We start from the raw sequence: 15,828 nt of genomic DNA on the forward strand, positions 1-15,828 counted from the left end.
GGGTGGTAACTGAATTTGATGCAATAACTAGAGCCTGCTCAAATAATGTCCCTGGTCTAAAGTTTTATTTCATTGTAGCACTATGGGCTTGAGAGAAGACAGGCCCTCTTCTAAATTTTTGAAGAAACACGTAAAAGCAAGGCCATGTTAGGATTTACTGCCCAATGGTCAGTATTGAGAACATTCCTTTATGCTTGCAAGAAGTTAAAAATAAAGATCTGAGACACATTATGGTTTTCATCCTTCTGTTGGTTGTTAACCTCTTTCTTCAATAAAAGGCTAAGGGAAAGTCCAATATATAAAACCTGTGTAGGCTGAGCTATGCTCCCATGGCCCCTGAGGGCACTCGGCAGAAGACAGTTCTGAATTCACTGAAAGTGTGTGTGTGTGTGTGTGTGTGCTTGTGCACGAGTGTGTGCACATGCACAGCCATAAGATAAGCAAACATTAGAGGTAACAAAATAGCAGTATAAGTTCTAGCAGCTATGAGAATTCAGAGACTGAAGGAAATCAGTATTGGAAGTGGCTGTTAAACATCTCAGCTAACAGATTTAGCCTGGAGGAGAGTGTCTTAGTCAGGAGGAATAGATGAAATAATATGGTCTCTATGGACTAATAATCCCCCATTCTCCAACTTAAATCTGAAATGAAGACTATTTCCAAAATAAAAATTAGACAGAAACTCTTGCTGGGGCTTTTACCAACTGTTAGGTTGTTTTTGGTTCTTTTATTTGAACAAAGCTGCCACCTGTACTGAGGCCTCTAACTCTTGAATAGTGTGGATGGGCGCATTCCCAGCTGGAGACTGTACGTAGATCTAGCAAGCCAGAATGAGCTATGATCACTGCAGCCTGAACACTTTCATTTTAGTTGTCTGAAAATTTTAGCAATACACCAAAGTTGTTTTCTAAATGGAACTCAGTTTTCAGGAATCTCTTTGAACTAGTAGGCAATTTCCTTTAAATCGTTCTACACTGCAATTGGGTTTAGCTTCTAATGTGGCTTCAATGATTCTCACAACCAGCAGGCCTCCTGCCTTCATGAGTGGGGCAATGATTTGTGGCTTGTGTCAGCCATGGAAAAGCTGGTTTCTTGTGAAAGTACAAAGGGACACAATTTGTGATGCAAGGAAACAAGCTCACAAAGACATAAAAATTAGCTTTCCACATGATTTATTCTACTGCTTCATGTCAATAAAATGGGAAAATGGTTTAAAAATATTATAAAATGCATAGGTAGGTAGGTGTCAAAGTTATAGATGACAGCATTGGATGTGCGTGACACGCCACCTTCACATGCAAGTCTCCTGAGGGGAAGGGTGAGACATGAGTGTCCAATACTGACCAGAAACTATGTGGACAGCTGATTTCAATGGTATTCCCTATGGTAAAATTACTATGGTAACATTTATGTTTCTTAACAGATTGATCTGGAATCAAGACCTTTGCTCCAACATAAAAGGGAAGAGACACTTGATGAAGAAAGCAGTTCCATGGATAATCCAAGAGAGCTATTTACCATCCAAGTTACCTTTTCTTCATTAACCGAATTTTTTAAAAGATAAATCTCAGATGGGTACATAAACCAAAGACAATTGCTGCCTCGTGTTACCTAGACAAAGCAGAGGGGCAAGAAACAAGTCCCACGTTTTCACTTTCACTTTTCATTTAAGTATTTGGCAAGTTGGTTCACTGGTGAAGACTCAGAGAGAAATATAAGGAAGAAACAAAGTGGTCTATAAAAATATTGTCACTTCATCATCTCAAAATATTTCCTGCAACCTCTGCAACTCTCTGAGGAAGCAAGTCAATTCTACTAGTTTCCCAGGCATGAGGCATGCTGCATGAAAAATCTCTACCCAAGTAAAGAAAATGGCCCATTGGTTCACATATTCATGTGATAAATTGCACTGTTAATATGAATATTAAACTTTAGATAGATAGATACAGATACAGATAGACGGATAACATCTCTCTTTACATAAAACACACTTGACATTGCGTATTATCATGTAACTCCTCTCCAATTTTAGATTACACTATCGTATTATAGTGGTGAATAATTTTTAAGTCAAATAGAAAAATACCTGAATTTGCCCAACATCTATATTAGGAAATGATCATTCCATGAGGTGAAATATACAAGGCCTGGAATGTATCGGGAGACTGGTAGTTTATTGCTGGCTTCCTCACTCTCTGGCTAGATTCTCTGGAAAAATTTGTCTTAGTTCTGAGCCTCGGTTCTCAACAATATACAAACAACAATAACGATGGACCTAAATATCTGCTGGGGTTAATGAGGTAAAAATATAATATCCACAAGCTATTTAAGTAGTAACATATCATATAGAATAACTTTTATAACTAAGGTTTGATTTGCAAAAGGAGTCACAGTTGGTGGTCTTTAAATGCAAAGCTCCCTATCTTCAGATATTATTCACTTTACCAAAAAAAAAAAAAAAGAAAAAGTAAAAGTATTTACTGAAAATCTTCAAGACTATAAAGAAATGTGGCTGAGATGCTCCCAGGAAAGAAGAAAAAGAGACGTCCTTCCTTTGTTTTTGTTTTTTTCTCTCTCTCTTTCTTATGTATAGATTTCATTATTTCATTTTAGAGGTAGAAAATTAAACTCTTACTACCATGACACATTTAATTGAGAGAATAATGAGACCATAGCTAAATATAATCAATATATTCAAGATAATGTATAGAAATTTAATCAAGAATCTGCTTCATGAATGCAGATGCTTTCCAGGATATAAAGATACTGAACTTCAAGGAGGGCCTATCTTCCCAGTGTTTCACTCCAGCAACTCAAATTTGCATTGAGATATGTGAAGTATAATACAAAACAGAATATACAATACAGATATATGAATCAACATCCCTTGAATGCTGCACTTTTCTTGTCTAATTTCCAAACTTCGGTGTGTTTCTTTCAGTGTAAAGTAAAAAAGTAAGTAAATTTACTAAGGCTTTTCTTTTGGGGCAAGAAAAGCAGGTGAGAGTAGAAGAAAGGAATAAAGAGACACTATATATGTTAGACAAAGAGGAATAAGACGAAGAAAATACAGAACCTTAGGAGAAACTGAACCAGAGCTCACAGAGTATTGAATAGTCAGCAAACTAAGTAAATGCAAAGACAAACAGCTTTGCTATTCAAAGTATGGTCCCCAGACCAACAGCATTGCCATTGGTCAGTAACTTGTTAGAAACACAAATTCTCGATCTTGTTCAACCCACCAAATCAGACTCCCCATTTTAACAAGCTTTCCAAGTGACTCATATGCATATTAGTATTTGAGCAGATCTAACTCAGAGTCATCCATTTTGGCCTATTATGATTAGAGCTCATCTTTTCCATCCACCCTAATTTCTCATAACCAGAAAATCATTTCCCATAGGCAATCTTTATCCATTTACACAGGCCTACTATTTGCAAACACATATGAGACTCAACTCTAGAGGATGTGTGGCATGACTTAAGGAAACCATTGTCACTCTCTTAATCCACGTTATATATGATCACATGTGTGTTCAAAGGCAGTTACTTCTTATCCATCTGACTATGACAAGAAAAAAAAATTGGTGAAGAACATGGAATGAAAGGGCCAAATGGGTCCAAAATAATGAACTAAAATAGAGTAAATAAATATAGTAAATAGTATAGGAAAATAACGATTTAAAATATAATAAAATGTACTATAAATTACAGTAAATAAAACACATTGTCTATGGCAAACGTGTTAACATCTGTAAACAACTTTCACCTGAATACCTAATTGTTGGAAGTGATGCCTTCCTCCTACTCAGCTTTCAGAGAACTTGAGAGCTTTCCTAAACTCAGAGAGCTTCTCTAAAGCATGTTCTGTGTCTGTGAGGTTGGCAATTTATAAAGGAAGGTGTTTCTATTCCTCCAGAAGCAATGCTCTGAATGACCTTGGACAGAAGTTAACCAAAAGTGACCCATGATTGGCAGCTTCCAGTGTTGGCAGGGAATCTGAAGATGTTAAGCATGTAGGAGTGCCAGCCCCTGGCAAAATTGTGAACTCATTTCATCACTCCTTTACTTTCCTTTACTTCCTCCTGTCCCACTTATGAGTCCAAAGCCCTTGCACATCCTCCTGGACCCCAGTGGTCCTGCTCTCCATTCAGTCTGGTTTAGGCCTCCTTGCTTTTCTGAACTGTTGCAATGGCTCTCCTGGCTTGTGTTCTCTCTACACTCCACTTGCTGCTCTTCAAAGCACAATAAAGTCAGAAGGTATTAATTCTTATCTCACAAGTCTTCGACTCTGACTACATATAGAATACTACTATAAGTCTTGACAGAGAAAAAAAGAGCATCCCTGTCATTTAGAAGCCAGCCTCACACTCAGATATTCTCTTGTGTATAAACAATCTCAGAACATATGCACCTCAGATAAAAGTCACTCTGAGACCATAACAAAGTGAGACAAAGCAAGGGTATTTTATAACGTTGCCTAAGCAATGACAAAATCAAGGTCACTGCGCCTCCACCAAAATACCAAACATCCCCTCTTGGCATAACATAAGCAATTGCTATGGCTTTATCAATTGCATTTCTATCCTCAATGTAGTCACTCCTCCCTATGGATAAGACTTATTGAGATACACAATCAGAGATTTGCCATTACTCTCTGACAGCATTCAGAACACACCTCCCCACCCCTTAGACCACCCTGAAATTACCCAAGCAAACCTTCAATCTTCTAATGCAGCAGATGACTTCAGGATGACTGTTTCACTGCAGATCATCAGGCATTATCTAGATTCTCATAAGGAGTGCACAACCTAGATCCCTCGCATGCACAGTTCACAATAGGGTTAGTGTTCTATGAGAATCTTGTGCCACCCTGATCTGACAGGAGGTGGAGCTCCGGCGGTCATGCTCCTCAGCCACCACTCACTTCCTGCTGTGCAGCTTGGTTACTAACAGGCCATCAGGGTTGGAACCTCTGCTCTAATAGTTTCCTTCTAGCACCCTCCTACCGAGATACCCCACAGTTGCCCATGGTGTGTGTTCTCTCTCGCTGCAATGTGTAGTAACAAAATTTGTTTAACTACAGGTATATTACTGGTGGTCTTTGGGTGAAAAGCATTAACAATTCAGTGTCATCTTGAATGCCCTCCCTGACTTTGTTTCACAACTTTCAGTCGCATATTTGTTTCATTAAACTACTTGTATTTCCTCAACATGCACTGTATTTTCACAATGCTGCACGTGCTGAGCTGTTATTCCAACTTGGAGTTTCTTTCCTCTGACTCCCAGCTACTGAAACCCTGTTCACCTTTCAAAGCTCAGGTTAAATTCCACAAGCAAATTTCTCTGATTTCTCTGGTCAAAGCCTATTACTTTCTTCTGAGTGTTTTGTTCATACTCTATTTGACATTTACTTTATTTGATCTTGCACTATAGTGATTTGTATTCTTCTTTACTTCTTCACTCGCTATAGAAGCTCCATGAGAATTCCAGTCATGCTTCATCCATCCTCTCCTTTCTGTGGTGATTGCCTGGTCTCTGCTCGGTATATAACACAATTTTAATAAATATTTGCTAAATTGAATCTGGAGATGAAGTCTAAAACTGCTCAGTTAAAGTTGAAAACTTTGAGAGGTGTCTGTAAATTAATTTAATAATCTCAGCTTAACCATTTAAAGCTTTTCATCTATGTTATAGTAACGAACATATTTATTGAATAAAATGTCAAATTATCAAACTGTTTGTTGACTAACACAAATCAGTTTCACTTGCCTCAACCTGAATATTTTTATTATTTTCAATTCAGCAATTACTAAAAGTGGTATTAAGCATATAAGCTGGCCTTGAGAATTTTCTTTAAATAAATGTTTACTTTGTCTCCTTTCTTAATTAAGTTCTGGGACATATGGGCAGTGTGCGCATGTTTGTTACATAGGTAAACATGTCCTATGGTGGTTTGCTGCACCTATAATCCATCACCTAGGTATTAAGCCCAGCATGCATTAGCTATTTTTCCTGATGCTCTCCCTCCCCCAGCATACTCCACCTGACAGGCCCCAATGTGTGATCTGTTCCTCTCCATGTGTCCACATGTTCTCATTGTTCAGCACCCACTTATAAGTGAAAACATGTGGTGTTTGGTTTTCTGCTGAGGATAATGGCTTCTAGCTCCATCCATGTCCCTGCAAAGGACATGATCCCATTCCTTTTTATGGCTGCAAAGTTTTCCATAGTGTATATGTACCACATTTTCTTTATCTAGTCCATCACTGATGGGCATTTAGGTTGATTCCATGCCTTTGCTATTGTGAATAGGGCTGCAATGAACATACACGTATATATATCTTTACAATAGAATGATTTATAGTCCTTCGGGTGTATATCCAGTAATGGGATTGCCAGGTCAAACGGTATTTCTGGTTCTAGGTCTTTGGGGAATCACCACACTGTCTTCTACAATGGTTGAACTAATGTACATTCCCACCAACAGGGTAAAAGTATTCCTATTTCTCCTCAGCATTGTCAGCATCTGCTGTTTCTTGACTTTTTAATAATCGTCATTCTGACTGGAGTGAGATGGTATCTCATTGTGGTTTTGATTTGCATTTCTTTAATGATCGTTGATGTTTAGCTTTTTTTCATAGGTTTGTTGGCAGGATAAATGTCTTCTTTTGAGAAGTGTCTGTTCATATCTTTTGCCCATTTTTTAATGGGATTTTTTTGTAGTAAATTTGTTTAAGTTCCTTGTACATTCTGGATATTAGACTTTTGTCAGGTGGATAAATTGCAAAAGCTCTCTCCCATTCTGTAGGTTGTATATTCACTCTGATGACAGTTTCTTTCACTGTGCAGAAGCTCTTAAGTTTAACTAGATCCCATGTGTCAATTTTTTGCTTTTGTTGCCATTGCTTTCAACATTTTCATCATGAAATCTTTGTCCATGCATATGTCCTGAATGGTACTGCCTAGATTTTCTTCTAGGGTTTTTATAGTTTTGGGTTTTGCATTTAAGTCTTTAAACCATCTTGAGGTAATTTTTGTAATACATGTAAGGAAGAGGTCCAGTTTCAATTTTCTGCAAAAGTCTAGTCAATTTTCCCAGAACCATTTATTAGATAGGGAATTCTTTCCCCATTGCTTGTTTTTGTCAGGCTTGTTGAAGATCAGGTGGTTGTAGGTGTCTGGTCTTATTTCTGAGTTCTCTATTCTGTTCCATTGGTCTGTGATATGCTTTGGCTCTGTCCCCACCCAAATCTCATCTTGTAGTTCTCATAATACCCATATGTTATGGGAGCAACCTGGTGGGAGCTAATTGAATCATGGGGACGGTTACCTCCATGCTGTTCTCATGATAGTGAATGAGGTGTCAGGAGATCTAATGGTTTTATGAGGGCCTTTTCCCCTTTTGCTCAGCACTTCTCCTTGCTGCCACCATGTGAAGAAGGATGTGTTTGCTTCCCCTTCTGGAATCATTATAAGTTTCCTGAGGCCTCCCCAGTCCTGTGAAACTGTGAGTCAATTAAACCTCTTTCCTTTATAAATTATCCAGTCTCAAGTATTTCTTCATAGCAGTGTGAGAATGGACTAATACAGTCTATGTATCTGGTTTTTGTACCAGTACTATGCTGTTTTGGTTACTGTAGCCTCATAGTATGGTTTGAAGTTGGGTAGTGTGATGCCTCCAGCTTTGTTCTATTTGCTTAGGATTGTCTTGTTTATACAGGCTTTTTTTTGGCTCCATATGAATTTTAAAATAATGGTTTTAATTCTGTGAAGAATGTCAATGGTAGTTTAATGGGTATAGCATTGAATCTATAAATTACTTTGGGCATTATGGCCATTTTCAAGATATTGATTCTTACTAACCATGAGCATGAAATGTTTTTACATTTGTGTCCTCTCTGATTTCCTTGAGCAGTGGTTTGTTGCTCTCCTTGAAGAGGTGCTTCACTTCCCTTGCTAGATGTATTCCTAGGTATTTGATTCTCTTTGTAGCAATTGTGAATGGGAGTTCATTCATGATTTGACTCTCTGTTTGTCTGTTGTTGGTGTATAGGAATGCTTATGATTTTTGCACATTGATTTTGTATCCTGTCTCTCTTTTCTTAATCAGATTATAATTTTGATATAATATTAGGAAATGTAAACTGAATTAATAGGTCCTAATAACCCATAGAATGACTAAAGTTGTGATCAAAACCAAAGGCACTCAAGGGAATATCAGAAAAAAAACACTATTGAAAAATAGACATAAGATAATTTGTCATAAAGCCATTTAGGATAAAATAAAGTTCATTTTCACTGAAATTGTAAAATAAATTATACAGAACTCTACTACACTTTATGAATAGCTTCAGTTAAATTTTTTATATTTTGAATATAAAATTTGTGATAACTTCATGACAGTTGTATGCAACATGTTTATTTTTATACATGTATTGTTTGGAGACTAAATAGCACAATAATTTAGAGTACTGCATCCAGCTTGCTGCTCCGTTTCCCTATCTGAAAAGCAGTGGTGATAAGAGCCCCTAACTTTGTCCTTTGCCGTGAAGATTAAGTGAATAAATGTAAACTGCTTGCACCTGCACCTTGCACATGGGAAGTGGAATTGAGTGTTAACTGTTATTACTATATTTCATCTTCCGTAGAACTGCCATAGCTTCCTTCCTGGCTTTCTTTCTTTGGATATGATCATGCTTCTTCCATTTAAAATCATTGAAAGTCTCCCGTTACTGGCAGGATCAAGTTCCATGGCATTCTCATGCCATTCAATCCTGTTCACTCTCAACTGCTGACACTCAGCAAATTTTATTTTAATCCAAATACTTAAGGAGAGAATGAAATGTTGGTTTCTTTTCTAAGGACCATTGCTCCAACCAACCTACATCTGACGATTGCTTCGTGTTTTCACACTTGTGACTCTTCTATTCTAGAAATGTTAATTCCCCCATTTTATTTATCTAGGGAGTGCCCCACCCTTTCTTCTTTCTTTGTTCAAATTTCAGTTGTTTTGGCTGTATTCTCTGACTCTACTAGATATACTGAGTTGCTCCATTTCCTTGATTCTCCACCTTCTACATGCCTCCAAATGGTCCCTCTAATTCTGACATTTGTGGGGCACTCATTCACCCTTTTTTCCCCCTATGTCACAAACTAATGCTCATTCCCATCCTTAACTGTGCCCCACTCTGCCGGAAGTTCCTTGTTTTTCTAAGATACAGTAGAAATCAAAATATGCAATAGCTCTTCATTTTCTACACATAAATGCATGAGCTCCTGACCATGGCTTTCAAGGATATCCATGATATGAATGCATTTATATTCTGTCACCCTTCTGTATGGATAAACTTGTTAGTAGCCATGTTGGTTTCAGTAGCATCATTGAACTCATTCTGTGTTCACAATGAATTACTTTATTATTATCCAACAAAGATTTAATCAACAAATACTACTTTCCATATACTGTGTTAGTCATGGGAGATACAGAGACATTTCCAGTTGTAGAAAATTTGAGATTATGAGGATTTTTAAGTACTTAGTATAAGGCAGGAATGTCATAAATTCAATTTTATAGGAAAACAGTGTAATGTACTCAGACAAGAGGAGTTGAAACACTTTGTGTGAGGAAAGACAACATACATGTAATAAAAAGATATAATAATAAATGCTGAAGTGGTTTTCAAACATGATTTATTTTTAAACCACAAAGTCATAAGGGAATTTATCATGAAACATGACCATCTTAAAACCACGATTTTCTCAGCAAGATCACTGAAGGTAAAAGTTGGATGTTTGGCTTTTGACATTTATATACAGTATTGAATAATCAAGAAAGTTCATTTCAGTTCAATGTATTAAATATATTAAATTAAGGGTTTCCCCTCTGTGGATAAATTATTCCTATCCCAATGACTTTTTAGTTGTAAAGATTTTTTTTTAACCTGGGTATTTAAAAGTTTTCATGTATTGTTTGACAAACATATATTATTTATACTAATAAATGTGTATCCCCACAACTGGATACGAAATGCAAACAGGTTCCTAAGGATGATGTTTAATGAAAACTTGCCAAACAGGATTTCTGATCTATGCATTCTGGGAGCTGGGTCTATCCAGCCCATGAAGAACAGCCTGCTTTGCAAGGGCTGAGGACTTCAATCCTGTCTTGTGACATTGCCTGACACCCGTTTTTAGAGCCTCATCATTGTGATATCACACAACATGAACAAAGAAATATGATGATATAAGCCATCATCCAGAGAGTATCACTGAGCCCAGAGAAAGACTTGAGACTCTTCCATGTGCTGGTGGCCCAAAAAGTACCATGTTAATAATAAAAATAATTACTCTTTAGATGGCATCTTCTCTGCTATAGTTCTCCTTCTTTTCTAGCAATTAAAGAATAGTATTTCCCTTTCCTTTTCTACTTTCATTTTTTTTCTTTCTTTTCAATGGCAAGCTTCATAAGCCAATGTCTATCTTTTATTCAGGATACAAATAGTTGTGCACTTTCCCTGATAGAGAAACTCCCAATAGCTATGGTTAGCTTTCTGTTTTCATATTTAGCACATTCTCATTCTGGTTCTCCTTCTGGCTTTTGTGCATATTATCTCCTTCAAAACCTTCTCTTTTATGGCCAGGCATAGTGGGTCATGCCTGTAATCCCAGCACTTTGGGAGGGCAAGGCAGGCAAACCACTTGAGGTCAGGAGTTCAAAATCCGCCTGGCCAACATGGGGAGACCCCCTTGTCTACTAAAAATACAGAAAAAAAAATTAGCTGGGCGAGGTGGGAGGCACCCGTAATCCCAGCTACTCGAGGGGCTGAGGCATGAGAATTGCTTGAATCCAGCAGGCAGAGGTTGCAGTCAGCCGAGATCAAGTCACTGCACTCCAGCCTGGGTGAGAGAGCAAGACTGTCTAAAAAAAAAAAAAAAACCTCCTCTTGTGGTTAACTACAGAGTGAAGTTATTGCAAACGCTACACATGCCTTCACAGGTGGTAAGCTGCACAAAGATCTCCATGAGTCAATGCTATGTGAAGAACTGCATGGCAGAATAACTTCACAGTCTGCTCACTTACTATATAAAATGATGAAAAATTTAAATGTTGTCAAATTTGACCAAACATCAAATATAAAAAAAATTCTTATCTGACTTGGAGTTTATTTTAAAAATTTTAATAACTAAGGGATTAAGAACAACTGACAGAATCATCAGAGGCTCTGCCTTTAAGTCTTGACAATTTGGCAAATTTTATTTTAATCCAAATACTTAAGGAGAGAATAAAACGTTGTTTTCCAGGATCTAATGTTAGGATGAATGTGAGATCCTAAAAAGGATTTTGTGTTAGTTTTTTTTTTTTTGTAAGTAACATGAAAGAAAAAACCAAAAATCTAAAGAAAAAAAGATGGATAGGAGAAGTCAATTTACTTTAAGTAGAGAAAAAAGAATACTGAAAATATAAGGCAATCAATTTTAAGGAACTGACTTAACCCCAGGATGAGGTTACAGCAAGTTTCCTTCATTTAACACAGTCCAGTCCAAACATTTTTCATGGGCACAACTGAAAAGTGTCACTCCATAAAGAAAAAATAATTGGTAATTTTATACTTTTATAAGAAGTCAGCCAGATGTATCCACACATCACCGTCACCAGAACCACAATCAACTTTTCTATTCCTGTACCTAAATTTTTCTGAGTGCTTAAATATATCCAACAACAGAATTAAGGGGAAGGGAAATGTTCTGGATTGAATTGTGCCCACTCCCTAAAAAATGATAAGTTGAAGTTTTAAACTCCATTTTCTCAGACTGTAAGCTTATTTGAAAACAGGTTCTTCACAAAGGTAAGTGGGTTGAAATGAGGTCATCAGGGTGGGCTCTATTGCCATATAACTGGTGTTCTTATAAAAATGGGAAATTTAGACACAGAGAAAACACACTTATGCAAAAAGAACACCATGAGAAGATGAAGGCAGAAATTGGGGTGATGATTTACGAGACAAAGAATATCAAGGATTGCCAAAGACCAATGGCCACTTGCAGAAACTAGGAAGAGGCAAATACAGACTCTGGAGGGAGCATGGTTCTGCAGAAACCTTGATTTTGGACTCAGATTCCAGAACTGTTAGAGAATAAATCTTGTGGTTTTTTTTGTTTTTGTTTTTGTTTTTTTGAGACAGAGTCTCGCTCTGTCGCCCAGGCTGGAATGCAGTGGTGCCATCTCGCCTCACTGCAACCTCCGCCTCCCAGGTTCAAGCAATTCTCCTTCCTCAGCCTCCTGAGTAGCTGGGATTACAGGTGCCCACCACCACGCCCAGCTAATTTTTGTATTTTTAGTAGAGATGGGGTTTCACCATGTTGGTCAGGCTGGTCTCGAACCCCTGACCTCATGATCCACCCACCTCGGCCTCCCTAAGTGCTGGGATTACAGGCGTCAGCCACCGCGCCTGGCCAAATCATTGTGTTTAAACCACTCAGTTGTTGATGCTTTCTTAGGGACGACCTAGAAATACAGAAGACAGAAGGATCGTGAGACAGTTCGTTATTGTTTGGCGAACTGTAGCTGGACTCCGGCTCATATAATGAAAGAAACTTAAAGGAATGCCTAAGAATATTACTCTACGAGTGTAAGAATTTGGTTTGTCAGTTTAAACTGATATCAGCAGTTACCTAAACCAAGTTTTTTAATAAGAACATCCAGGACTGACATAATGCTATTTTGTTCAGCTCTTTGAAAAACAGCACAAAGCTAGCATCTCTGTGACATTCATTAGGTTCTGTAGCACAACATCCCAGAGGATGCTTTTGGGCTTCCTGCATCTCAGTCACTTAGAATGAACCTTAAAATTCAGATTTTTCAAGGCTCATCCCAAACCTACCGAATCAAAGTGACTTCTTCTGTTGAGTAAGAATGTCTGAGGGTGGAGTGTTCTATTGAGTCAGAATGTCTAAAGTCATTTGTAAACTAATCTCAGATAGATAATCCTTGTATACATTAAGAGAACCACTGTCCTATGTTTACTTGACTGTTTTCATAATGTTTTCCTTCTGATTGTGGTAAAGTTAAAATTGTTTTGAGCTAAATGTGTACCAATATCAGTTTCTGCAGTATAAACAAAGCTTGATTATTTCAAGGTCATGCAGTGAGAACATTTATGCTGTGTGGGAGGAACCTCTAATTCCTTCTAATGAATAACACAAGCAAAATACAAGAAAAACAATGCAAACACTGGAAGGCATAAGTAAGCACATCTGTTTTTAAATGTTCTCCTCTCATTGATTCCTCTAATCAAGGTGCTTCTTTAGATAGCTTACACGTTGAATTATTCATGCATCTGTGCTTTACCAACTCCATGATACTGAAGAGTCTTTGGGCAGTCTCCTGGAGGTGGTAAAACACAAATGCGTGAAAAGGGGGCAGAGAGCATATCTTTGCTCTTGATGTCTTTTTAACCTCTATTGAATCCTCTACAAAACCTATTGCATGGCTTAGACACATTAAACACCCAATAAATTCCTGCTGCCTAATCAGAAGGAAGAAAATCTGATACATGAACACTCCCAGGATAAAATGGGGTGATGGCTTGGACATGCTGGTAACAGAGGTAACATTTTCTATTTCCAAATTGCAAGTTCACCCATAACTGTAATGGAGATGAGTCACTGGGTCAATGGTCATGCTGTAAATTTGTAGCTCTCTGCTAACACTTGAAAATAATTCTTAAAATGATTGTCTTCATTTTATTAGCATGACTGATGACTTGGAAGGGAATCTATAATTGATTACATTCTACAACCAACCTCTGTTACTCAAATGAGTGAAAGTGCAGTTATAAGTAGATAAATCTTGTCTAAGAAATGAAGATAAATTCATATAAATGCATAAAGGTGAAATTGTTATGTAATGGCTATGCCTAATTTATTAAGCATGTCATAATAAGCCTGACAAAAAGTCTAAAAAATATTTTTTGCAAGATACTGAACAGTAACAAAATATTTTACCTGTTGGATGTACAAAATCTTATTTTAACAGCTACTGAACACATTAAAAAAAATACAGCTTAGGCTGGGCGTGGTGGCTCATGCCTGTAATCCCAGCACTTTGGGAGACCGAGGCAGGCGGATCATGAGGTCAGGAGATCGAGACCATCCTGACTAACATGGTGAAACCCCGTCTCCACTAAAAATACAAAAAATTAGCCAGGCGTGGTGGCAGGCGCCTGCAGTCCCAGCTACTCGGGAGGCTGAGGCAGGAGAATGGCGTGAACCTGGGAGACGGAGCTTGCAGTGAGCTGAGATCGTGCCACTGCAATCCAGCCTGGGCGACAGAGCGAGACTCCGTCTCCAAAAAAAAAAAAAAAAACCTCAATATCAATATTTCCTGTATTTTATACTTAAGAATACCACAATTACAAAAGTCACAGCCACAAAAGTGTGAGATCATACAGCTGCCAGACTAAGTGTTCCCCCACAACTCTTTTAACTCACTTTTCATTTGTTCTGTAATCATGCATTCCATCAACAGCCTTTTTTTTTTTTTTTTTTAAATCTGGGCATTGTTTGAGTTGAAAAAAGCTGGGGGTTTGGAAGCAGGGAGGGTACTTTAAGGAAGATGGGTTTTTATCACCAGGTCACTTTCCATCCACAATTCCTTGGTATGGACAGAAGAGAAGGGCATGCCTAGAGCCTGAAGCTAGCACAGAACTCACTAGTTGAAAGAAACAAGGATGGTCAGTGGAAGGGGAGGTAAGGAAAATCTGGCCAGTGGGCTCCATGCCTTGGAGTCATGCTTAGATCCACCTTTGTGAAGGGGTGGACTGCCTAGGTCTTCATAACTACCTGTGCCAGCACTTAGCTCATAGTTGTCACTTATCATGGGTGGGTAAGTTACCAAATAAACAACTTCATCTGGTCTGGTTACTGGGGATTGAAGGATAAGAAACGGTATAGTCTAGGCTGGGTGCAGTGGCTCACGCCTGTAATCCCAGCACTTTGGGAGGCCGAGGTGGGCGGATCACAAGGTCAGGAGATCGAGACCATCCTGGCTAACACGGTGAATCCCCGTCTCTACTAAAAATAACAAAAAAAAAGAAATGGTATAGTCTAGTGTTTCTGGCTGTTAGTCATTGGTAAAGCCAAAATACTCCTGCCTTTGAAGTTTCCTGATGCCTTCTAAACATTATATTTCAATCTGGTGAAGGAATAGGGCTCTAATGAGTCATTTGTGAAACCCTAATCAATAGCCTTGTGGTCTCCCTCATTTCTTATTATCATTGCACACACTACATCCACATGACTGCTTGTAAGACTATTTTTCACCGTAAATTGAACTCAAAATTTGCATATTTCTACCAATTTTAAATTTTGGCTTATGTTACATTTTGTATGAACAAGTTGCTGCCTAGAGTAGAAAAGTGGCATCCAATTAGAAAAAAGGAATTTTTATTTGATGAGGCCCTGAGTTGTGATGACTGGGGTGAAAGGAGAGGTTGGGTGGAGGTTGCTCTATTGTTCTAGTCTACAAAACACCCCATATCTTGACAATGAGTGCCTTTAAAGGGCAAAAACTGAGTGTTCATTTCTTTTAAGTATTCCTGCCGGTAGCAAACATTCGTAATTTATGGGTCAGAACATTTCAGATGCTTTCTCTTCTGGCCTTATTGTCATCTGCCTTATAGCAATCTCTTAATCTCTCTTGATTGTCTTTTATTTTATTCAAGATGAATAATAGTGTGGCAGCTTTTGCTAATTCACTCCATTGGTTATCAAGTCTGGGAGACCCCACTTAAATGTCATATTTTGAAGATGAGGGGACTGAGGCTC

At 38.0% G+C, this 15,828-nt stretch overlaps 1 protein-coding gene and 1 non-coding gene across 22 annotated transcripts in view; both read right to left on the minus strand.

Moving 5' to 3' along the window:
* Positions 1-15,828, minus strand: part of FGF14 (fibroblast growth factor 14) — a 691,640-nt gene that overhangs the window by 243,519 nt on the left and 432,293 nt on the right. The window lies entirely within an intron of this gene.
* Positions 13,320-13,424, minus strand: MIR2681 (microRNA 2681). Its single transcript, NR_039603.1, has one exon. It is a non-coding gene; the product is annotated as a microRNA 2681 (primary transcript).

This window comes from Homo sapiens, chromosome 13 (assembly GCF_000001405.40).
Source record: "Homo sapiens chromosome 13, GRCh38.p14 Primary Assembly".
NCBI classification, from domain to species: domain Eukaryota; kingdom Metazoa; phylum Chordata; class Mammalia; order Primates; family Hominidae; genus Homo; species Homo sapiens.